Source organism: Homo sapiens, chromosome 12 (genome assembly GCF_000001405.40).
Source record: "Homo sapiens chromosome 12, GRCh38.p14 Primary Assembly".
NCBI classification, from domain to species: Eukaryota; Metazoa; Chordata; class Mammalia; order Primates; family Hominidae; genus Homo; species Homo sapiens.
In genome coordinates, this window is record NC_000012.12 from 9,238,400 (window position 1) to 9,262,969 (window position 24,570).

The 24,570-nt window shown below is 35.9% G+C and overlaps 1 long non-coding RNA gene, 1 other non-coding gene and 2 pseudogenes across 11 annotated transcripts in view, besides 3 other annotated features; 1 reads left to right on the forward strand and 3 right to left on the reverse strand.

Annotated features, from left to right (window-relative positions):
• The window catches only part of A2MP1 (alpha-2-macroglobulin pseudogene 1), a 45,821-nt pseudogene that overhangs the window by 9,872 nt on the left and 11,379 nt on the right, over nucleotides 1–24,570 (reverse strand). The window contains exons 9-20 of the transcript NR_199634.1: nucleotides 24,131–24,358; nucleotides 22,847–22,910; nucleotides 18,245–18,387; nucleotides 15,206–15,355; nucleotides 9,149–9,313; nucleotides 6,996–7,085; nucleotides 6,785–6,886; nucleotides 4,224–4,365; nucleotides 3,485–3,712; nucleotides 2,855–2,981; nucleotides 2,533–2,654; nucleotides 2,264–2,315 (exon numbers count right to left, since the gene is read on the reverse strand). The product of NR_199634.1 is annotated as an alpha-2-macroglobulin pseudogene 1, transcript variant 2 (transcript). The remainder of the gene's footprint in view (nucleotides 1–2,263; nucleotides 2,316–2,532; nucleotides 2,655–2,854; nucleotides 2,982–3,484; nucleotides 3,713–4,223; nucleotides 4,366–6,784; nucleotides 6,887–6,995; nucleotides 7,086–9,148; nucleotides 9,314–15,205; nucleotides 15,356–18,244; nucleotides 18,388–22,846; nucleotides 22,911–24,130; nucleotides 24,359–24,570) is intronic.
• Nucleotides 927–2,097, reverse strand: PTMAP4 (prothymosin alpha pseudogene 4; annotated as a pseudogene).
• On the reverse strand, nucleotides 1,068–1,152 carry MIR1244-3 (microRNA 1244-3). The gene has a single exon (NR_036263.1). It is a non-coding gene; the product is annotated as a microRNA 1244-3 (primary transcript).
• Nucleotides 1,674–24,502, forward strand: LINC00987 (long intergenic non-protein coding RNA 987). 9 transcript variants are annotated; one of them, NR_137429.2, is made up of 7 exons: nucleotides 1,674–2,140; nucleotides 2,719–3,060; nucleotides 8,070–8,149; nucleotides 9,182–9,278; nucleotides 17,160–17,326; nucleotides 19,524–19,592; nucleotides 22,215–24,502. It is a non-coding gene; the product is annotated as a long intergenic non-protein coding RNA 987 (long non-coding RNA). The 9 variants fall into 9 exon arrangements; NR_137434.2 differs by having other exon boundaries at nucleotides 17,160–17,293; NR_137430.2 differs by having other exon boundaries at nucleotides 17,160–17,293; nucleotides 19,527–19,592.
• Nucleotides 2,008–3,207: an enhancer, noted in NCBI's record as "BRD4-independent group 4 enhancer chr12:9393003-9394202 (GRCh37/hg19 assembly coordinates)". NCBI's record gives its function as "activates an origin of replication core promoter dependent on BRD2, P300/CBP, MED14 and CDK7 cofactors, and independent of BRD4, by STARR-seq in HCT116 cells {active_cell/tissue: HCT116}" and the evidence as "EXISTENCE:reporter gene assay evidence [ECO:0000049][PMID:35650434]".
• Nucleotides 6,626–6,675: a silencer, noted in NCBI's record as "silent region_4223". NCBI's record gives its function as "represses an Ori minimal core promoter by ATAC-STARR-seq in GM12878 lymphoblastoid cells {active_cell/tissue: GM12878}" and the evidence as "EXISTENCE:reporter gene assay evidence [ECO:0000049][PMID:35858748]".
• Nucleotides 6,686–6,735: a silencer, noted in NCBI's record as "silent region_4224". NCBI's record gives its function as "represses an Ori minimal core promoter by ATAC-STARR-seq in GM12878 lymphoblastoid cells {active_cell/tissue: GM12878}" and the evidence as "EXISTENCE:reporter gene assay evidence [ECO:0000049][PMID:35858748]".

Sequence of the window (24,570 nt, forward strand, 5' to 3'; positions counted from 1 at the left end):
AAGGTGGAATCGACTAGATTTGTGCATGGATTGGGTAGGGAAGATAGGGGAAAGAATGTAGTAAAGAACTCCAAAGTGTTTCTCCCTAGCAAATAGAAGAATGGATTTTTCATCATCTGAGATGAAGGAAATTGAGGGAGGAGCAGGTTTGTGAGGACGAGCAGATACTCAGTCTTAAACTTGCTGATTTTGATATGCCTATGAGACCTACAAGCCTGTAAGTGGAGAGTGGGCAGTTGAATACATGAGTTTGAGTTCAGGAAAAAGGTGTGGATCAAAGTTGTACAGTTTTGGACACAAGTACATAGTTGTTATTAAAGCCATTGACTAGATGATTTTATCAAGGGATCCTCGTATAGAGAAGAGAGATCTGCAGACTGAGCATTATCGTCAAGATGATTATAGGTGGCACAGAGTTGGGTTTTTAATGATAATTTAAATAAACTTAAAAAAGTGTTAGCTTTTCCCCTTCTCTTTCAATATAGTGGTAATTTTTGTATTGCTATATTAATGATATTGGTAAAATACTGGTTTTCTATACAAGTTAGTAACCTGGAGTTCCTCTTAAAATAACTTGTTTAAGTAAAAACATGAGTGCATTTAAACTGTCAATTGAACAGTAAATCATACTAGTGTCACACAGATATTTCAATATTTTGAACATGGTTTAGGAAGACATTTGAGAAACACAGAGGTATCAGAAAGAATCCTGTCCTGAGGTCAACAGCCTTAGACCTTATTATTAGGCAAGAGCTTTTAAGCTTTTAAGCAAGTCTTTTATTTCTCTATGCCCATTTCTTTATTCTTAAAATACAATAATAATAATTTATCCTAAAAAGTACTTTCTATTTATTTCCCTAAGAGGCTCATTCCAAGTGATTTTCATCAGAACAATGTTTTTCTTTTTTTTTTCTTTTTTTTTTTGCTAGAACAACTCAGCAAAATAAAATTCCTGTTTATTGTTGGACAACATTGTTTCACACATACATCAAACAGGCCAAAAAATAAAAATAAACAGCAACTTCATAGACAAAAAAGGAAAAAAAAGAAACCTTTTATCTTTGGCCTTTTTAACCATCTCATACAAACCAACTACTTATAGTACAGCTAAGTACATACACAAAAAAGTTACTGGAATGCTCGGAATAAGATGGTTTTTCTGTTGTCATTTTTGCATTTTTTACAAGTTTTTTTTTTCTCCTTTGAGATTATAATGAACATGGCCACACCACAAGTAAAGTGAGAAGTAGGACAGAGAACGCTCCGAAGGCTGGTTTGGTCATCCGAGATCATTAAAAATGGCCGACCCTAACAATATGTACAAAAATATAAAATGTAAATAAAAAATACAAGTTTCCTTTTTAAACTACTTTTAAGAAAAAAAAAAAGCAGGGCCTTGGAAGTTTTGGTTCTTTTTCCCTCCCCTGTTGCAAATTCTCATGGTTTGGGTTGGGTGGTGGAGAGCGCGTGTCATCTGCGGGTGGCACTGCCCACGGTGGGCGGGCGGGCCCCTCTACTCGAAGGTGACCACGTTTAGATTCTGAGACGGGAAGTGGAGGGTGAATAGGTCACGGCGGCCTTTTTTTTTTAGTTTAACTTTTCCTTTTTTGCCGTCTGGTCATCCTCGTCGGTCTTCTGCTTCTGGGTATCGACATCGTTATCCTCATCATCTTCAGCTGCCCGCTTGCCCGTAGCTGACTCAGCTCCCTCATCTTCATCTCCATCCTCTTCCTCACCATCACCTTCTTCCTCCCCACCTTCTTCCTCTTCTTCATCTACCTCGTTGTCAGCCTCCGGCTCCCCATTTTCCTCATTAGCATTCCCGTGAGCAGGGGCGTCTCTTCCATTTTCCGCCTCTTCCACAACTTCCTTCTTCTCCTTTAAGTCCTCGGTGGTGATTTCGGAGCTGGTGTCTACGGCTGCGTCTGACATGGTGGGGCACGCCGGTGACGCGATGCAGGGGATAAAAAAGAAAGCGACAGTTCAGGGACTCTGGCGATAAAGCTGCCGGAGTCCGCGGCGGCGGAGGCGGCTGCGGCGAGCAAGGAGGCTGACGACGCACAATGCAAAGACGGCTTTTCAGAGCAGCCAGTGGGGCAGGACAATGTTTTTCATCAAATGTCCTTAGATTTGGAGGAGGGTAAGAGTTGTTTTTTTTTTCTCTCTCTCTCTCAGAGAAAAGCATGCCCCCAAAAGACATTCCACAACTGCATACTCTGGCAAGTCACTTAACATGAAATTTTTCTCTATATATTACACTTACCTGATGCACAGGGCAGCGTGTTGAAAGTTTCCTCCTTTGCTATTCCTTCAGGCTTTATATTGACAAAAAAAAAAAAAAAAAGTAAAGCGATACTGAATGTATAAAAGAAAAATTAAACACTTGAAAGCAAAGGAGAAAATGGTGGTGAAAAATTGGATTGTAGATCTATCCACATTCTTGGGAATTAAATGTCACTGTGAGATGCATGTTAGATAATACTGTATGAAATAATAAGGGCTCTGAGACTCACAGAGAGTAGACTTACGTACCTCAACTAGTAAGGCCTTGACTACAGTGTCCTTCTGCGCAAGTGGTGGGACGTCAGTCAACTCATTGTCACACACTTCCTGAGAATGCATGGCTTCCGCAGTGGCTGTGAAATTCACCTTTCCTGGGGAATAAAGTTCTTAAGAGTTAAACGGTGATTCTATATTGAACAGTTTCTTCTTTTCCAGTTTCCCCAGTGTATCCAGTGGTTGTCTTCCTCTTGATTAATATTAAAGGAGGAGAAAAAGTGTGTATTGGGGTCAGTGCAGAAAACAAATCATCCAAGCACACGAAGTGGAATTTGCTAATAGCATTACTACTCACCCAGTGACTTCGGAGTCACAACCCAGGACACGGTTTTCCGCCCATTTCTACAGACACAGTGAGATTCTTCATTCTTCTCTGTTGGAACAGCCAGGAAAGCGGAAGAGACCTCCAGCTGCACAACGACCTGTCCCCCACACCCAACCACAAGTTTATGAAGGGATGCAGAACAGCATGAATACTGCAAAAGATGCTCTGTGCATCAGGTAAATGGACTGAGGGACAATGTCCATGAGTCCAGAGGCGCTGAGAAGCTGTGCAAATATGGTCAGCTCTATCAGACACTTTGTAGTTTAGGTGTTTGAAACAAGAAAATTGAAAAACTGACAGGAATTAGGATAAGTGTTTAGGATTTAGCCTTGTGCCAACAGAAGAAAGAGGTGTTTAGTGAAAAACATGAAACAATCAGGTGGACATAATGTCTGAATTTAGGAATACACAGATATAGGAGCCTGAATGAATATAACCTTACCACCTTGGGCCTGTCAGGTACCTTTTCTCTTAGTACCAGGTCTGCTCCAAAATTAGGATATATCATATGCAGTTCTGATTTCCTGGGTTACCTAGGAGACCTGGTAATGAATGGTGACTATCTTCTATTCTCATTCACTTCCAGAGAAGTGTCCTTACCCGAATGCAGGTGGACAAGCAGTTAAACACAGTGGCTTTGAGTGTGAAGGCTTCTCCTCGCACCACAGAATAAGGAAGGGTGAGTTCTAGGAAGAAAGGCTGGAAGGCTTGAAGAGACACGATAGGAGAGAGGCCAAACCCTGTGGTTCCAGACAAGCAGAATGCGCTGGCCTTCCACTCTGTGATGGTTTCAGGGACCTGGTCACCAGCTCACTTATACCTAATGAGCTAGTGAAGGAGCAGAGAAGAGGAGTATAAGCAAATCTTTTTTTTTTTTTTTTAACACAAAGCATGGCTGATCCTAGAACATGATAACTCAGTAACCTAGTGTGGTAAATGCTAAACTTGATCTAAGGGTTGGTGCTCCTGGTGAGGTTTAAAGTTTTTTTTCTCCCTACCTCCCTTACTCCCTCCTTCCCTCCCTCCCTTTATTTCTTCCTCTTTTCTTTCATTCTTTCCTTCCTTTTGTTCTTTCTTTCAATCTCCCTCCCCTCCCCTTCCCTTTCCTTTATTTAAGAGGGCTGGTAGCATCCTACTTTCTATTATCTTAGTTATCAATAGACTAAATTAGAAAAAAAATTAGCATTGTTTAATTATGAGATAAATGAACTATAAACCTAAATATTTACCAGAAAAGAGCAGAGCAGAACTAAAAGGATCAGGAATCCAGGATAACATCAGTCATACAGCAGGATTCAAACCCTCTCCTAAACTAAATTCCAGGCAACACACAACTTACTCAACTACCACCAAATCCCAGATCCAGGTCTCAGGGAAGTACTTCCGGACTATCTCTTTCACTTGCAATATCTGAGGTTCTTCTTCGATCATTGGGTACATTATTTCTACGGCTCCTGGGGGTACACCTCGCAGACCTGGTCCTGGAAGACAACACACAGGCCTCAGTGTGAACCTCATTTTTATCATCAATTTCTTATTGCTGCCTTATTTCTCAAATGGAATAAGGTCATACGCTCAGGGAATGTTTATTATTGGAACAATTTAACCTACCAGCTTGTTATTTTGTTCACTTTCCTATAAAAAGGCTAATCCTATTTTTTCTTCAAATAGAATCTAGAGCTAAATATATTTTTCTTTATAAATAAAAACAAATGACCTGTACATGTACCTCCTGAATCTAAAATAAAAGTTGATTAAAAAAAAACAAATGTAGCTCTCTCTAAGATGATTACTCAACTGGTGAAGGGAAGGATAAAGAGTAATTTAATACACCAAATATTGCTTTTACACTGAAATTGTGTTCACATGTCTTCTGTTTGCAGTGAGAATCAAACGAGGAATGGATATTAGCTAAGCAAGATGATTTCGGGAATGATTTTTTGTTTGTTTGTTTGTTTCGACATTGAATTAATATGGAGACATAAACAATAAGCAACAGGATTCAGTAAAGTATGTAGTATAGACAATAGGGAGTCAGGAATGAAAAGACAATCAACTTTAGTTAGGCCGGAAAAGACTTTACCAAAGCGGAACCTAAGATGATCATTCATGGATGGGAGGTGGAGGAGAATGGGGAGTTATTCCCAGGAAAGGACTGTGCAAATATATATACAAAGGTGGAAGGGTGCTTCACAGGGATAGTAAAAATTTACCCTCTAGAGTAGAATGGCTATTTTCAGGGTGTGTTTCCCATAATTAGGTAAACAGAAGGTATAATATATAATAAAACATAAGGCTAGGACAAATGAATAAGGTCTGTTAAGTGGGAGTTAGTTAGCTTGATAAAAAAGAAATTGATATTCCAGAAATCAGAAGATATACATATATATAAGATATATATAATCTTTACATATTGTTAACATTATCTTAAATATCTTTATTATAATATTATTCTATAATATATCTTCTGATCTCTGGGGCATCACTTTTTAAAGATAATTATATACGTGTGTAATTATAAATACATATATGATATATATATAAGATAATAGAGTTAGATGTGCTCTTTCAAAACCTTAAATGCAATAATCTTATGAATTCTGGAAGTATTGACTATGTTTGAGAAACAAGTGACATGAGAAAAGCAGTGTTTAAGAGTATGCAGGACAGATAGAGGTAAAGAAAAGCTGGAGGCAAGGAAGTTAAATTAGAATGGTTTTTCAGTAATCTAGTTATGAAATAATGACAGACAGATTAAAGTGCTGTAACTGAAAATGAGAAGGAAGAAAAGGATAAGCAACAAATACCAAAAGAAAAATTTGCATAGAATATTACAGAACATTTGGGGTCAAAGTGTAACGATGTACTCTGAGTTTTCAGGTTTTCTGAATCATACCTTTGTTTCCATTGATCTGTTTTCTCTTAGGTTGGAAAGAAAATACACACTTGGTGAAATGAAAGTCAATTAATCATGCTTTTCAGTTTCTTTTTTTTAAACAAACATGCCATTAAAGGAATCATGATTTTTTTTTTTTCATTTTATGGTCACAATACCTCAGTGAGTTTGGTGTTGTCATTCTGACTTCAGATTTAAAGAAACTGAGCCTCTAAAAGGTTAAGTGAGTCTGCAAATTTCCAAAGTCACATAGTCATAGCAGATAGGAGTGTGATGAAAAATTGTCCCTTTGTTCTTAAAACAGTGTTCTTTTTTCACTATACAGGATTTTTTTTTTTTTTCTGGTGAGGAAATATCCTTAATGACTCCTTTGTTTTCAATTAGAACATTACTCCTTGCCTTCCCAGGCAGTGAATCTGCTGTATTAAAATGTGTTTATTCTTTTTTTTTTTTTAACACTTTTTACTGCCATCCTCATTTTTTATTAAAAAGTAAATTTGGTAGACATTCAAGCATGCAGAGAAAAATTTCTCTAGGCCTGATGGCAGTAGAAAAGAATTTTGAGTTAGGCCTTTTGCAACATTTCCTGATTTCCAGGTATACTTGAAACACACAAAGAGACTATGCAGAGGTAGCGTATCTGCCAAAAGTTGCATTACTCTCTTTTGCTCAATATTACATAAATCCCTTCTCTTTCCATAAGAAGATATGACAGAGACAGTTAATATCCACATGAGCCTTCCCATTTCTCAGCCTCCTTTGCATTCAGGGCAGGAACATGGGCGGAAGTGATGTATACCATTCCCACTCCTGGCTTTAAGAGTCAAGTGCAACCTCCTTCCCCATGGGTATGACCTTGAAAGCCACGTTGGCGATGGCAGAGTCACCAGAGGAAAGCAGACTGGTTCTCTCTGACTCACTGTTTGGCACGGGGCTGTTCTGGAGAGTGTCTGAACTCACAAGTAGATTTTGTGTGAGCAAAAACCAAACCGTTAGGTGCTTACCCGCTGAGATGTGGGAGTTTGTTTGTTACTGCCATTGAATCTAATTCTGACTAATTCAGGTATTGACTCCATCATGGACAAGGAAGATCTAAAATGGCAAGACTATTAAAAGCAAAAACAAAAAGTTAGTTGATTTTGATGTCAAAGAGAAAATAATAATTGCTTAAAAATCCTCTATTTGAGGAAAAAGTATTATTTGGGGCTAACTTACCAAGAAGTTGCTGCAGTCTCAAGATCCAATACTTAGAAAAACAGGTTTTCATCTTAAACCAACCCAATAAAGCACCATTTTTCTTCTATTCTGTCAGACAAATAAATCACACCTTTACCTCCTATTATGCTGATACGCAATCCTCGTGGTAGACACAAAGTTGGCTTATGGATTTTTGAGTTGGTAAAAATATCTAATCCTATGGACTGAAAAAAATTGTTAAAGCATAGCGGCAATCCAATCTTGAGACTGTAAGTAGTTTCTTGAATTTGTATTGTACTTTCACTATTATGTTACATATAGTTCATACGCTCATCATGAAAATTACACAAAATGAGGAGAGCTATTTATAAATATGAAAACAGAGTCATAGACGGTCAAGTTCATTAAGCTATTGAGTGAATAGGAGTGGGAATTCAAACCCGTTTCTGATTCTTATTTCTAAATATTGTCTGGTATAATCTAATGCTCTTTAACTCTTTTTTGCATCCATAAAACTGAATATTTTAGACTTAGATGTTTTCTTCTCTTCTTTTTCCCCATGAAACAAATATCTATGTCTGTGTATGCATATAAACAGCTCTCCTTATGGCTTTATTACAAAGAGCATTTTTTTGCTTGTTTCTTGTCATTTTAAATTGAAGGTTTGCATATCGGAGGTTGTTCTTTACAATCTTAGTAAACTCTGTTTTGTTTATGTTTTACCAGAAGATATGGCTTTTCCTGAATATCTATGCTTAACTCGTTCCTGTGGTCCTTTCCTCTTTTTTCTCAGTTTCTTCTAGTCGTCTCAAATGTCTGCATCTAAAACCCACATTCAGATGCCCACGGTTGTCTACAGTCCACCTGTTTCCAGCTTCCCCCTTCTTCAATGTTAGTCACAGATAAATATTATTTGCTATTTTATCTCAGAGTATTTGGGAAACTGTGGGACTCTTGAACACAGTTGTCAGTGAGGGTTGTGTACGCAACAGAAAGAAATAAACCAGAAATAAATATTTAGAGATTAAACAGCTGGTTAATAAACCAAGAAGTATTCTTTTCATCCTTCTACCATCTGATTTGTGATTCCAGAACGTCCAGAAGAGAGAGATTTAAATTGCTTTCAGCTAAGCTGTAGACCTCTAGCAGATGAACGACATATTTTCCTGAAGGTATGATGAAAGTTTTTAGTGCTTTTTGATAGTGATAAGATTTAATTTCACGACCTGGATAATTCTGCTCAGTTATAGTTAATACTAAAGAATTACATTTTTAAGACATCTTAACATTTCTAATACAAGTTTTGTTAATCTTTTCTTAATGAAAGACAACTTCAAATTTTCCTGGAATTTTACTGCCCTGTGAGGACTGAAGTTTTGCATTTTATGTATTCAATCCTGTATTCATTCAACAAGTGTTTTCTTTGTTTGTTTGTTTGTTTTGTTTTGTTTTGTTGTTTTTCTTTGAGACAGAGTCTCGCTCTGTCACCCAGGCTGGAGAGCAGTGGCGCAATCTCGGCTCACTGCAAGCTCCGCCTCCGGGGTTCACGCCATTCTCCTGCCTCAGCCTCCCGAGTAGCTGGGACTACAGGCGCCCGCCACCACACCCGGCTAATTTTTTTTATATTTTTAGTAGAGACGGGGTTTCACCTTGTTAGCCAGAATGGTCTCGATCTCCTGATCTCGTGATCCACCCACCTCAGCCTCCCAAAGTGCTGGGATTACAGGCGTGAGCCACCGCGCCCCGCCTCATTCAACAAGTGTTTATGGTGCAAATGACTGAGATGATGGCCTCCAACAAGGTGCTCACCTTTCCAAGAGTGTCAGACACATTATGGAAAATATTTTGTTTTGGTTTTCTTACATATTGGAATCCCCAAGAGTCACTGAGAGGGGAATACGATGGTGGTAAGCAGCTTTGGGATCCATTTGGTTAAGGTTTGCAGCCTAAAAGTAAACCACTTTCTATTTAAGGTGGTAGAGAAGTTCATGTGTGAACATCTGTGTGTCCACAGAGTTATCTGTCTCTGAGATTTCAATATTTTTCTGTTAGTTATCATTTTGTTAGAGGGAGGGGAGAAAAGATCCTAGAGCTTAGAAGTCCATTGTTTCTCCATCTAAACAGACACGTAGAAATCAGTTTTTGTTATGTTTTTGGGGAAAAAAAATTACCGTGAAGATACTGTAAATGTCATCCCCCTCCAGGACTTGCTTCGGTGTGGAAGTGATTCCGCTGTGAGTTGTGTCTTTTGCGTTGTTGCACTCTTCATCATATTCATCCGCAGGACCTCCAGCTCTAAAGGTAAATGGACTCTTTACTGGTAGCAAGTTATAGACCTGCAACATGGAGAGAACAAAGGAAATCTCTTTCTTTTTAACAGATTTTAAAATGTGATAATGTCCCTTAGGAAATTTAAAAGATTATGGTGTTTATTTAACATGTGCATGCTTACATTATGAAAAGCAACACAGAGAATCATGGAGTAATATCAGAGGTCATGGATCCTAATTCTTTTGTTGTGCAAAAGAAAGTAATATATAGAGAGATGAAATGAATTGATCAAAATCTCAAAATTCATTTTGGTTGAGTAAAAATAAAACCGTCTCTATTTCCCACAAAAAAAAATGCCTACTTTTAAAAGAAAGTAGGAAATGTGGACAGCAGAGGCACATAATGAAAGAATAAAAGCCTCTCACAGCCCCCTCACCTAAAATAATCCCCATAAATACTTGATTCATTTCCTTTTTCCATTTCATATGACTAAGGCTGTACCAAGTTTTCTTTTTAGTCTACTGTATTAGGACCAAGTTTAGCTTAAGAAAAATCTAGGTGCAGGGACAACTGAGAAATAATTCAATTCCAGTTTGGTTTTGCCCAGAGCCAAGTTTAAGGCCATGTGCTCAGGGTTCAGGTGGCCTTACTATACAGTGTTCAGGCCATTAAACACACCTGCAGACCTTCTAATGTGGCTTCTGTCACTTGTCATCTGTGCTACTGTAATAACTTCGTAACTGTTCTTGTGCTTTCATTCTTGCTCCCATACTCTTAGCAGCAAATATGATCTTTTTAATAGATTCATCTCAATTGTCCACTCTTCTGTGTAAATTTCCTCATTGATTTACCATTGCATTTACTATCAACTCCAAACTCCACACCAAGTAAACAGAGCTCGCCATGATCTTCCGTTTTCCATCCTACCTGCAGCCTCTATCATCCTCCCCTCTCACTGCTACATATTAGGTGATGACCTTTTCCTTTTCAGTACACTCCAAATTCATTCTGACTCAAAACCTTTGGCATGCTGCTTCCATTTTTTGTAAGCTTGCTCTGGCCTCTCCACTATTCTCCAATGTAAACATTTCAAAATTGCTCAATTATTTCAAAAATTTATCAGCACCTTTATGCTTGATATCAATACTCCGTTTATTCTTTTCATAGTATTTATAAAAATCTGGAATTATTATATGTTTATATGTTTTTGTTGCTTGCTTGTTTGTTTGTATATCTCACAAGATTATAAATCAAAACTAGTAAAAGACCAAATCTGGATTGTCCATAATTAATAATCCTGGTCTCAAAACAATGTCCATCTTATAGTCAAGATGCAATAAATATTTCTTAAATAAATAAGTGAACCATGAAGCCAATAAAATATAGGGCTGTTCTGAAATTGCTTCATTGCAAGAGACATTTTTAAAGACAACATTGAATGGAAATTCTCTTTTGTCCACACTTAAAACCAGTGAGTGAGTGTCTGGATTTTAAGAAAGGCATAAAATTTTTGCATAATTTCTTGAAATTATATTAGTGGTGGGTTAGGAAGTGGATTTAAAAGAAAAGAAATGAGAATGGAATTCCTCCTTTAAAATGTATTGTTTTTATCGTCAATTTCTTATAGTTGCCTTATTTCTCAAGTGGAATAGGTTATATGCTCAGGGAATGTTTATTATTGGAACAATTTAACCTACCAGCTTGTTATTTTGTTCACTTTCCTGTAGAAAGGCTAACCCTATTTTTAATGTCTCCTGGTTGTGTTTTCTTCATTCATAATATTAAAGTAATAATACCCATCTCAAATAATTATTATTCATTTACTCACTCATTAAAAATGTGTTGATCATCTATTGTACATAAGATTCTGTGCTAGGCAAGATGATGGAGTCACGACCTATCAGTATGCTGTCTTCAAGAGATCCACCTCATGTGTAAAGACACACATAGGCTAAAAATAAAGGAATGGTGGAAAATTTACCAAGCAAATAGGAAACAAAAAAAAGAATAGGTCATAATCCTAGTTTCTAATAAAGCAAACTTTAAACCAACAAAGATGAAAAAAGACAAAGAAGGGCATTACATAATGGTAAAGGGTTCAACTCAACAAGAAGAGCTAACTACCTAAATATATATACAACCAATACAGGAGCACCCAGCTTCATAAAGCAAGTTCTTAGATAATTACAAAGAGACTTAGGCGCCCACACAATAATAGTGGGAGACTTTAACACTCCACTGACAATATTAAACAGATCATCAAGACAGAAAATTAACAAAGATATTCAGGACCTGAACTCAGCTCTGGATCAAGTGGGCCTGATAGATATCTACAGAACTCTCTGTCAAAAAAAAAAAAAAACCCAAAATATATATTCTTCTCATCACCACATTGCACTTACTCTAAAATTGATCACATAATTGGAAGTAAAACACTCCTCAACAAATGCAAAAGAACTGAAATAATAACAAAGAGTCTCTCAGACCACAGTGCAATCAAATTAGAACTCAAGATTAAAAACTCACTCAAAACCACACAATGACATGCAAATGGAATAACCTGCTCCTGAATGACTCCTGGGTAAATAATGAAATTAAGGTAGAAATCAAGAAGCTCTTTGAAACTAATAAGAACAAACAGACAACATAACAGAATCTCTGGGATGCAGCTGAAGCAGTGTGAAGAGGGAAATTTGTAACACTAAACACCCGCATCAAAAAGCTAGAAAGATCTCAAATCAGCAAACTAATATCACAAGTAAAGGAACAAGAGAACCAAGAGCAAACAAACCCCAAAGCTAGCAGAAGCCAAGAAATAACCAAAATCAGAGAAGAACTGAAGGAGGTGGAGACACAAAAACCCTTCAAAAAATAAATGAATCCACCATTGACCCCACAGAAATGCAAACAACCATTAGAGAATACTATAAACTCCTCTATGCACATAAACTAGAAAATCAAGAAGAAATGGATAAGTTCCTGGACTCATACACCCTCCCAAGACTGAACCAGGAAGAAGTTGAGTCTCTGAATAGACCAATAATGATTTCAGAAACTGAGGCATTAATAAATAGCCTACCAACCAAAATTCCAGGACTAGACAAATTTACAGATGAATGTTACCAGAGGTACAAAGAAGAGCTGATACCACTTCTAATGAAACTATTCTAAAAGATTGAAAAGGAGGGGCTCCTCCCTAACTCGTTTTATAAGGCCAGCATCATCCTGATACCAAAACCTGGCAAAGATACAACAAAAAAAGAAAACTTCAGGCCAACATCCGTGATGAACATCGAAGCAAAAATCCTCCATAAAATGCTGGCAAACCAAATCCAGCAGCACATCAAAAAACTTATCCACCACAATTATGTTGGCTTCATCCCTGAGATGCAAGGTTGGTTCAATGTATGCAAATCAAGAAATGCAATTCATCACATAAACAGAGCTAAAGACAAACCCACATGATTATCTCAATAGACTCAGAAAAAGCCTAGAATAAAATTCAACATCCCGTTGTGTTAAAACTCTCAATGAACTAGGTATTGAAGGAACACACCTCAAAATAATAAGAGCCCTTTATGACAAACCCACAGCCAATATCATACTGAATGGGCAAAAGCTGGAAGCATTCCCCTGGAAAACCTGCACAAGACCAGGATGCCCTCTCTCACCACTCTTATTCAACACAGAATTGGAAGTTCTGAGTAGGGCAATCAGGCAAACAAAATAAATAAAGGGTATTCAAATAGGAAGAGAGGAAGTCATATTATCTTTGTTGACAGATGACATGATCCTATATCTGGAAAACCCCATCATCTCAGCCCAAAAGCTTCTTAAGTTGATAAGCAACTTTAGCAAAGTCTCAGGATACAAATTCAAGGTGCAAAAATCACTAGCATTCCTATACACCAACAACAGACAAGCAGAGCCAAATCATGAAAGAACTCCCATTCACAATTGCTACAAAGAGAATAAAATACCTGAGAATACAGCTAACAAGGGAAGTGAAGAACTTCTTCAAGGAAAACTGCAAACCACTGTTCAAGAATTCATGAAGGACACAAACAAATGGAAAAACATCTCATGCTCACGAATAGGAAGAATCAATATTGTGAAACTGGCCATATTGCCCAAAGAAATTTATAGATTCAATGCTATTCCCATTAAACTACCATTGACAGCTTTCACAGAATTAGAAAAAACTATTTTAAAAATCATGTGGAACCAAAAGAGAGCCCAAATAGCTAAGACAATCCTAAGCAAAAAGAACATAGCTGGAGACATCATGCTACCTGACTTCAAACTTTACTACAAGGCTACAGTAACCAGAACAGCATGGTACTGGCGCAAGAACAGACACGTAGACCAATGCAACAGAATAGAGAACTCAGAAATAACACTACACATCTACAACCATCTCATCTTCAACAAACCTGACAAAAACAAGCAACGGGGAAAGGATTCCCTATTTAATAAATGATTCTGGGAGTGCTGGCTAGCCATATGCAGAAAATTGAAACTTGGACCCCTTTCTTACACCTTATACAAAAATTAACTCAAGATGGATTAAAGATGTAAATGTAAAACTTGAAACTATAAAAACCCTAGAAGAAAATCTAGGCAATACCATTTAGGGCATAGGCATGGGCAAAGATTTTGTGACAAAATCTCCAAAAGCAATTGCAACAACAACAAAAAATTGACACTTGGGACTTCATTAAACTAAAGGGCTTCTGCACAGAGTATCAGAGTGAATAGTCAACCTACAGAATGAGAGAAAATATTTGCAATCTATTCATTTGACAAAGATCAAACATCCAGTGTCTACAAGGAACTTAAACAAATTTACAAGAACAAAACAAACAACCCCCTTAAAAAGTGGGCAAAGGACATGAGCAGACACTTCTCAAAAGAAGATATTCATTCAGCCAACAAACTGATGAAAAAAAGCTCAATTTTACTGATCATTAGAGAAATGCAAATCAAAACCACAATGAGATACCATCTCACACCAGTCAGAATGGTGGTTATTAAAAAGGCAAGAAACAACAGATGCTGGCGAGGTTGGGGAGAAAAAGCACACTTTTACAAAGTTGGTGGGAGTGCAAATTAGTTCAACCATTGTGGAAAACAGTGTGGCGATTCCTCAAAGATCTAGAAGCAGAAATACCATTTGATCCAGCAATCTCATTACTGGGTATATACCCAAAGGAATAGAAATCATTCTATTATAAATGTTCATTGCAGCACTATTCACAATAGCAAGGACATGGAATCAACCTAAATGCCCATCAGTGATAGACTGGATAAAGAAAATGAGGTACATATACACCATGGAATACTATGCAGCCATAAAAAATGAGATCATGTTCTTTGCAGGGACATGGATGGAGCTGGCAGCCATTATCCTCAGCAAACTAACGCTGGAACGGAAAATCAAACACTGAATGTTCTCACTTATAAGTGGGAGCTGAATGCTAAAAACACATGAACACATGGTGGGGAACAACACACACTGGGGCCTGTTGGGGTGGGGGCAGGGGGAGAGAGAGCATCAGGAAGAATAGCTAAAGGATGCTGGGCTTAATACCTAGGTGATGGGTTGATCTGTGCAGCAAACCACCATGGCAAATGTTTACCTATGTAACAAACCTGTACATCTGGCACATGTACCCCAGAACTTAAAATAAAAGTTAAAAAAAAAAAAAGATTCTGTGCCAGGCATGGCACAGATTGTCTTGGTAAGCAAGATTGCTCCCTTAAGGAGAATATAACAGAGAATACAATGAGTTAAAATATGTAAAGTACTTTATGCAGTTTCTGCTTGTTGTGGAATTACACTATGCCTGTTACTCTGAAGAACTTGTTTTTTGCAAACATTTTTGGAACTTTTAACTTCCAAAAATGATCTTATCACGTGAGCATTTCATGATCTCCAAGGTTGGAACGTGACTCACAGATTTAGGTGAGAGCTCAGCTTCAGGCTTCATTAGCAGCACACTCTGGTCTACAGCACGGAGGGCACAAAGGGAGAGGGGGGTGGCTCTCACCTTCAGGCGGGTGTTTGAGGCTGGCAGGCTCTGAGCTGAGGAGAATCTCAAATTTACCTGTAAAGAGGATATGATTAAAGCAGCCATTTTATAATTATTACAGTAACCGGCCCTTCTTCTACTCCAGGCTAAGAGTAGCCTTTTCTATACTTCCTTTCTCTTTATTCATCTTACAGCAGGATTAAGAGATGAACAGCCTAGGAACTACCAATTCAGTGTCTCTGGAACAACCTGGAAATTTGATTCCAGTTAACTCAGGTTTTCCATTCCTTATATAAATGATGAAATATAAATTGACTTAATCATATAGAAATAAAATGCTGCATAGAATTGAAAACACACGTACAAGAAAGATGCATACCTTGCTATCACTGACCTATCTCTGTGCAGTGTTTATGTGAAGACTGTGTGCAGTTTGCACGGTGATGTGAAAATCACATTCCACCCCTGAGACCAGCCAACAGAAGTCTCCTCCAGTTGGCAGTCTCAGTCACCTGAAATTCTAAAGCAGTGTGGAACTGTTCATCATGATTGGAGATTTACTGGTCCATTTAAAAAAAATAAATATCTAATATACAGCCTAAGAGTTCATTGGTTCAGACAATTTAAAAAATGGTGAATAAAGAACAACAGGAAATTGTGCAGAATCTTCCCAAAGATTTGCTTCTACTTTGGCCAAAAAAATTAATTGGCAAGATAATCTATTAGTTCCTTCTGTTGATACCGACATTTCTTGAGTAGTATCTGAGTTATATAGTAGTAGCATCAGGTAACTTCCTTGATTCTTGGACTGAAAACTGATTTTTATTGGAATGAAATATCAGTATGTTTAGCTAAATAACATCTGACTTAGGTTGCTAAATTTCACTATGACAATCCAGCTTTATGGTCTACTGAATTTAATATAGCAGTTTGGAATCACTTATCATAAGACATATATGAAAAAAATCAATAATTATTTATCTTCAAGATGCAATAGTATTCATCTTTCTAACTCAATATACTATGAAAACATTGCTTATGGAGAATCTCTTTAAAATATATTTGCTTTTATTTTTAGAAAATTTAAGTTCATTAAAATATGTTAGTTACTGTCCATGTCAAAAGAACAGGTAATTTGGGATTATAATAAACTAAAAACACTATTAGCAAGAAGTGGACATGTTAGAAAATAGAAAATGTTTTACTGATATGAAAACCAAAACATAACTTTAAGGCATATTTCAAAGGAGTCTGTACCTCATATATTATATTAATTACTACCAATGTTATTCTTAATGAATAATTATATCTGGTTGAGTATAACAAATGATTCCAACTATTACATAATTTTTAATGTGTATGCCAAATCTGTTGTAAGTGAAGAAATAAGTATATGAAGTTTGAATAGAAAACTATTTTTCTCTGTCTCAGCAAAGATTGAAAAAAATTTAAATGTATCGTTTTGCAGGGATGCATGTCTGACTTGGGGTCTTTCCTCACATCCTCAGTGCACTATTTATTTGCTCATCATCCCACCAAGATGTCTAACTTTTAGGGTGCTTAATTTGTAATTTTAATAGATCTACTGTTTTTCTAATTTTTGTGGTAGTCAACTTTCTTCTGAATCTTCTTATGAATCTTTGTTCATATTATTTTTTACAGCTGATCTTCAATTCTGATCAATGATGATTTTAAAGGTATTTAACGTGAAGTGATTGAATATAATGTCCGTGGGCTTTTACTTCTATGGTGAAGTTTTATACTGTTGCACAGGGACTGTCATATGTTTTGCAAAATCAGAATTGTTTTTCAGACTGGATTCCAGGGAGAAAATTACTTTTCTGCCAATTCTGTTTTATAATGCTTCTCTCATTTCTAGGGTGTGAAGAGGATACTGACCCACCAGAAAGAGACCCCACTGCTAGAACGAATAAGATGTGCTGAAAGCCGGAGCATAACTTGGCCATTCCCAAGATTTAACAACAAACTAACTACCCATCATTAACAGTAAAGGTATTGAAGCATGAAGGAGTCTCTTCTCAGTGGGTATGAAACACACAGAAGTCCAAACAGAACAGACACTAAGCTTCTTGGACACACCATCCAGGTTTAATAGCACTCTTTAGTAAGGTGGAATTAAAGGTTTACATCAGAATACACTGTGTATTTTTCTTATTTCACTGTATATTTAAAACAAGACAACCTAAATATAGATCTCAGGGCAGAAATGTTCACTTGCTATAAACACATTTTGTTTTAATCTCCACAAAGCCCATGTTAAAAAAAAAATCCTTCCAGGTGTATTTGAAAACAGGCATCTGAAGTAGGCGGCTCTTATCTGATCGCTAATGTTATGATTATGCTGCTAGAGTAGTGAAAATCAGATAAACAGCACCAAGTTCTGTTGGAATAAAGCATACTTATATCTCAGTGAGCTTCACATGGCAGCTTTGTATTCCTTAAATAAAAAATATGCCATCTGAACCTATGTTAAATTTTTGTGCTATCATTATTTTTAAAGTGTCCAGGCTGTTTCTCATCTGTTCTGTATTATTAAGCTGAGTTTAAACTCATGACAACCTACTGCTGTCTGTAGTGGTACATGGAAGTGTGCCAGTGTATGATGGGGTAAAATTGGCACAGCCTTGTGAGGCATCATTTTTAATCAAAATATTAGTAACAAAACATTTTAAAATTAAAACTATTAAAGGCTTATAGGTGACTTGATTTTGAAATTCATATGAATTTTATAACAAAACAAGAGACTTTTAAAAAACTGTGTTTGTGGTTGCCTGTTTTGGATGTCAGCACTAGACCTCTCAGTATGACATCACCCCCTGCCTTTAGAAGTAGCTGGGAGGAATGTTTTAGGAGCACTGTATGCCTAATTTCCTAATTTCCTTCTTTTCCACACATCACAATGGGAGAAGAATAAAAGGACTAGTCTTAAACAAAACAACCCACCTTGTTGGCAAAACAGTTTTCAATCTCAAGCTTGTCAGTGTCTGCAACAATTTCTCCATTAGGTAAAACAGTGTAAACAAGCAGATGAGCACTAGGAGCAGAGTCTGATTCCACTCGAAAGGAGAAGGAAAACACCCCTTTCACTGGAGAATTTAAAAAGAAGAACAAGTTCAGAATAACACATTAGCAACAGAATTATCAATTTGATTTTTTAAAAAGGCATTTCCAACTATAGACTTTATTTACATTTGGATCACACTGAAGTAAGAAAAGACTTTATACCACTGTGCAGGTAGTAGTGTTCAATAAATATATGCTGAGCTAATGACATTTTCCCTTAAAGATATAGGTTTAATTGTTCATTTCCTCTGTTTAAGTAGGAAAAAGACATTTAATGCTTGTCTCTATTTCTAAATTGAAAAATATTATTGAGAAAGGAGTCAAGAGAGAAGAAAGAGAACTTCTAGACATGTTTGGTTATAATTCTTGTGTGTGTAAGGGCAATATAAACAATGCAACAGTCTTTTCCTTCAGGCCATTTATAATACAGCAGGGATACAGATACAAATCACATAAAAAGCCTTGTGAGCCTTTGATTTTTATAATAGAATTCTGTGTGTTCATCTCAGTGGTTGTCCTCTGTGTGAACTACATAGAGCTTATGTAACATTCCACTTGATTATTTTCATAAATGTTCTAAGTTTGATCTTTGTAGCATAAAATTATTCTTTAAAAATTGTACCCTTCCTGTATCTATAAAAGATTTGAGGGCAGCTTTCATGAAAATACAGAGAAACAGCAGAGTCAAAATAATTTGAAACAGTAAGACGAAAGCCAAATGAATGTGGAATTCTGAAGCAGGGTTAAACATAGGAGTTAATTTTATTAGGAAGCTGCAATGAAATGGTTATTACACTAGAGTACTTAAGTTTTTCACTGAGTTTCCGAAATGTCAAAGACAAAGTCAAAACAATCATTTACATAGCTGTCATTAAATAAAATGAAGTATATTTTTTCTTAAAGAGAGGGACACTTCTTCTTCCCATCCCACCACCTTAGGACCCAATCCATACAGGATTTAAACTCTACTGCAGAAACAAACTTTGAAGATACTGCTTTGTGAGGCAGTGACTTTTTCATATGTTATTAGAGACAACCTTACCTGCTCTAAAAAAATCAATACAATGTCCAATAACATAAAATCAGGGATTAAATGGAAATTTAGAGTCGATGTTTCATATTTGAATGAACGTATTCAAATTTTGTGCTTTATTTCAAGCAGAAAGAAAACAATCAGTAAGAGATTATATAGACCTAAGAGATGTTACAGACCGAAGAAGAACCTATGGTGAGTGGCGTTTTAGAGTGTGGGTACTGCATCCTTATCATGACCTTAGAAGCCTCTTTCTGGCTCAAAAAGACTGGGAGAAAGTCTATGAAAAAAAGGTTTTCATCTAGAAGTAGAGTTACAGGAAATTTATTAAGAGGCTAATCTGGAACTCAAAAAATTACAAACAAACATTAATATTTTGAAATCAAACTTAAATTCGTGATTAATTAAAAAGGTATCTTAGGCCGGGCACGGTGGCTCACGCCTGTAATCCCAGCACTTTGGGAGGCCGAGGCGGGCGGATCACGAAGTCAGGAGATGGAGACCATCCTGGCTGACACGGTGAAACCCCATCTCTACTAACAATACAAAAAATTAGCTGGGCGTGGTGGCGGGTGCCTGTGGTCCCAGGGACTTGGGAGGCAGAGGGAGGAGAATGGCGTGGACCCGGGAGGCGGAGCTTGCAGTGAGCCGAGATCGCGCCACTGCACTCCAGCCTGGGTGACAGAGCAAGACTCCGTCTCAAAATACATAAATAAATAAATAAATAAATAAATAAATAAATAAATAAAGATATTTATGATTCAAAGAAATAAAGAAGAAAAGTGTGATCTAAGATAGAGAAACTCTATTAACCCAGTTGACCTCAATGACGTTCAGAGAACACTCCACTTAATAGCAGCAGAATACACATTCTAACATTTATCAAGATAGACCATATTTTCTGAGCTATAAAATGTCTCCATAAATTTAAAAGAATTAAAGTCATACAATCATAATGTCATTAAATTAGAAATCAGTAACAGAAAGATCTCTAAAATATCTCCCATTTAGAAACTAAATAACACACTTCTGAATAACTCATGGTTCAAAGAAGAAATCAAAAAAGAAAGTAGAAAATATCTTGAACTGATTCAAAATGAAAGTTTCACATGTAAATATTAAACGATGCAACTAAAGCATTATTAACAGGAAAATGTGTAACAATAAACACTTGTATTAGTAAAGAAGAAAGGTCTCAATCAATGACCCCAACATCCTCATGAAGAAAGTATAAAAAGAAGACTAAATTAAAATCAATCTTTAATTGATAAAGATCAGTGGATACCAATGACATAAAAATAAAAAAAAAAACAAGAAAAATCAATTAAACCAAAAACCAGTTGTTTGAAATGATCAGTACAATTGAGAAACTTCTAGCCAAACTGATCAAAAGAAGACATAAATTATAAGTATCTTGAATGAAAGAGCTTCTATCACTATAGAAATTACAGATATTTTAAAACAATATTATGGACTATTTTATGTCAATAAATTAGACAGTTTAGAAAAATAGACAAGATTTTAAATGACATACACAACCAAAAAATTAACTAAAGTAGTAGCAAACTTACCTTGCACTTCATTAAAGAAAATAAATTTGTATTTAAAATCTTCTCACAAAGAAAATTCTATGTCCAGATCACTGGTAAATTCAACAAAATATTTAAGAAAAAGAAATACCAAATATTAATGAATTCAGATATTTAGGGAGGAGCTTTTACAGAAAAGTGTTAAAGCTTTTATAGAAAAGTGCTTCCTTCTTCCTGCTTATAACAAAACTGGAGAGGAGAAAAATAAATTGAATGAGGAAGTAGTCATCAAAAATGAACTAGGACTTGATAATTCGGAAATTTCTCAGCTTATCTAAATTGCAAAAATCGGTAAAATTAAGACATTCGCTGTCAGGAAATTGTGCTCTAGAAAAAAAGCTATGATGTGACTGGACAACTTTTTGCTAAAGACTTGATTTGCAGAAAAATTAAAATGTCAGAGTAATTTAGCCACAAAAAAAGGGCTCTTCGAAAAGATTAAGTGCATGACTCTTAGATACCCTTACCCATCACAACAAAAGCCAAAATTGGAGATAGAATTATCCATCAAATGTCAATGAAAAGGCTTTTTGTTTAACGGAATGAATCTCTGTGACACACAGGAGACCTACATGGTTCTTGAAAAGTTTATACTAATAGAAACATTGTCAGCTTCAACTAAAAGGGACAGAGAGAGTATAGAATAAAAGAAGAATATCAGACCTCTCAAATCATGCAAGCAGGAAACGAGATCTGATAAAACAATTCAGCTGCAAACACATCCTTCATGAAAAAGGGCAAATGATTTCATGAGTGGATCCTTGAGCCCAGACAATAGAGAAATGAATTAAAGAGGATTATTCCCAGGTGTTAAAACTATGCTGTTTTCCTAGCCAGATATCAGCACTTCTTGGGACTAAAGACTCTTTTTGCCCTAGGATGGATTATGTCCAGGACCTCAATAACACCTAATTTAGATGACTGAGATGATGAGATTTGGAACTTTTGAGCTAATGAGACTGTGAGCTTTTAATCTTATGTTAATGTTATGATGGATAGAGTGAATGCACTTTGCATGAGGGATGAATATGAATCTCTGGGGCCAATGGGAAGATTGTGGTAAATAGAATAATGGCCCCTGAAGATACTCAATTTCCAAAACTTCTGCATATGTTACTTTATATGGCAAAAGGGCCTTTGCAGAAATGATTAAATTAAGGATCTTGAGGTGTGAAGTTTATTCTGGATTATCCAAGTGGGCCCAATGTAATCACAAGGGTCTTTCTAGGAGGAAGACAGGAAGATGAGAGAGATTTGAAGATGGTATGTGGCTGAATTTGAAGATAGAGAAAGGAACCGCAAGCAAAGAATGCAAGAGGTCTCTAGAAGCTGGAAAAGGCAAGGAAAGAGTCTCCCCTCAAGCTCCAGCAGGAATGCAGTCCTGACACCTTGAGTTTAGCCTAGTGAGACTTCTGACCTCCAGAACTAGAAGATACAAGTGGTGTTTTAAGGCACTAAAACGAAGAACTAGAAGTATTGTTTTAAGCCCATAAATTTGTGATAATCTGTTACAGTAGTAATAGGCAATGCATACACAAGCACACAAAGTAAAATTTTTCTGTGGTTATTTTCCATATTTTTTCAGTTATTTTCTGCCTTTTGAAGACATTAAAGACATAAAATGAATATGTATTAGTTTAGGAATAAAATTTAAAATGTAGGAATGCTATAAAAGAAGAAAAAATTTTAACTGGGCTAAAGCAAACCCAGTATGTCATCCTATTACATCAGCTTCTTCATCTTTGGATGAAGAGGTTGGTGACTGTTTCTTCTAATGTGAGAATAGCTCCAAATTGCTAAATTGTTCAGAATTTGACAAGATGAAAGAGGAAAGAAAAAGGAAATCTTGAAAACATTTACTGTTTCCTTGTTCAATGGATAACACATGGATTCCTGATTGGGAGATTTTTCCTCTTGCTTTGATCTGAAGGCAGAAGGAAATATATTCATTATTGTTTAAAAGAATACATTTTAACCTAACTTTAAAACATTCATGATATATTTGTGAACCATAATCTTATTACCCCAACCTAGAAGTTATTTTGATCACTAAACTTCCTTTTCAATATCTTCATATATGTGTCTTTACATACTTTAAATAAAAAATATATAATTGTATAACGTTTTATTATTTTATTTAATATTTATCACTTCTAATAAATATATGTAAATATGTAAACAGAATTTATGTATTTTTTCAACAAACATTTCAAACATCTACCTTATGCAAAGCAATATATAGTGAAGGCAGATATAAAGTATAAATAAGTATTCTCTAATATTGCCTCTATTTTAAAAAAACTAAATGTATTGAGCATTCTCTATATGCCAGGAACTGAACTAAGTAATTTACTGTTAATTTACACTATAATTCCATGAAGTAGGTATTAATATTATCTCCAGGACTAAAGTGAGATGATTGACATTTCTCTTTCCAGATGAAATTAGGTAAGTTATCCAAGGTCATGTATCTAGGAAGCAATAAATCTAGGAAATTCAAATTTATTGTTAATTTTTCTATTTTTTTATGGAATTAAGAAAATGTTATTTATAGTTAATGCTCTTATACAGAATTCCCTATATTTAACTTTTTCTTCTTAAAATGACTTATTTGAGTAACTATGAGCCTTGGACATTTTCAATTTGGGGGCATTCGTGGGAATATTGGCCTCAAAAGTATCACTCCAATTTATAGTCTGCCTGTTAATATACCTTTTCCTTGCAATCACACCAGTCATGAGCTTTGTAAAATAATTAGAATTGAATATTTTTCCAGAAGATTGTTTATAAGTTTTATTTCCTTTTGAATGAGTTCATGGTTCTTAGCTTTTGCTTCTTTATCTACTGAGTTCTAAGAAAACATTTTCTCTTTGACTAAAAACATTTTATCCTAGGCTCTTTCCTCTCCTGCTCAATAAGTTGCCATTGGAACTCTGCAAGGAAAAATTCTAAAAGTTTCAGTGGTGAATAGAGCATAAATGAGAAATTAAAGCATTAATATTTGTTAGGAAGTAACTTCTCTTCTAGCACAAAAACAATACAAAATATATTATTGTTATCTTATAAATGGCATTACTTAGACAGGAACCCAGCAATTTTGGAGTCTACACAATCAGAAGGAGCTACAGTGGGTCTTATTCTTACCAAATAGTAGAAGGTTAATTCTTTTTCATCCCTGAGAATCTGTTTATTCAGAATGTAGTGTGCTTGAATCTCCTGGGTTTGTCCACAGGTCAAAGTACCAATAATAGGTTTGAGGTGAATATAACTCTTGCTTGGGGAAAAAAAATGCTTTGCAGTATGAGATGTTTGCGTATGAAATTCATCAAGCCACCAGTTATCAGAACAATTGTTACTCTCTTTGTATTTGACCTAATGGAAGAATAAATAAGCTGTTTTATATATAATATATATATGATTGCAAAAATATATAAAAATATGCATATTATATATGTTTGTATATATATACATAAAGCAATATAATAAAGCCATATAAGAAGGCTGCTTTCTTAAATATAGCAGAATCTGTAAACTGATTCCCCTCGAGATCATTTAAGCTTATGCTGTACTGATTTAGTAGATGT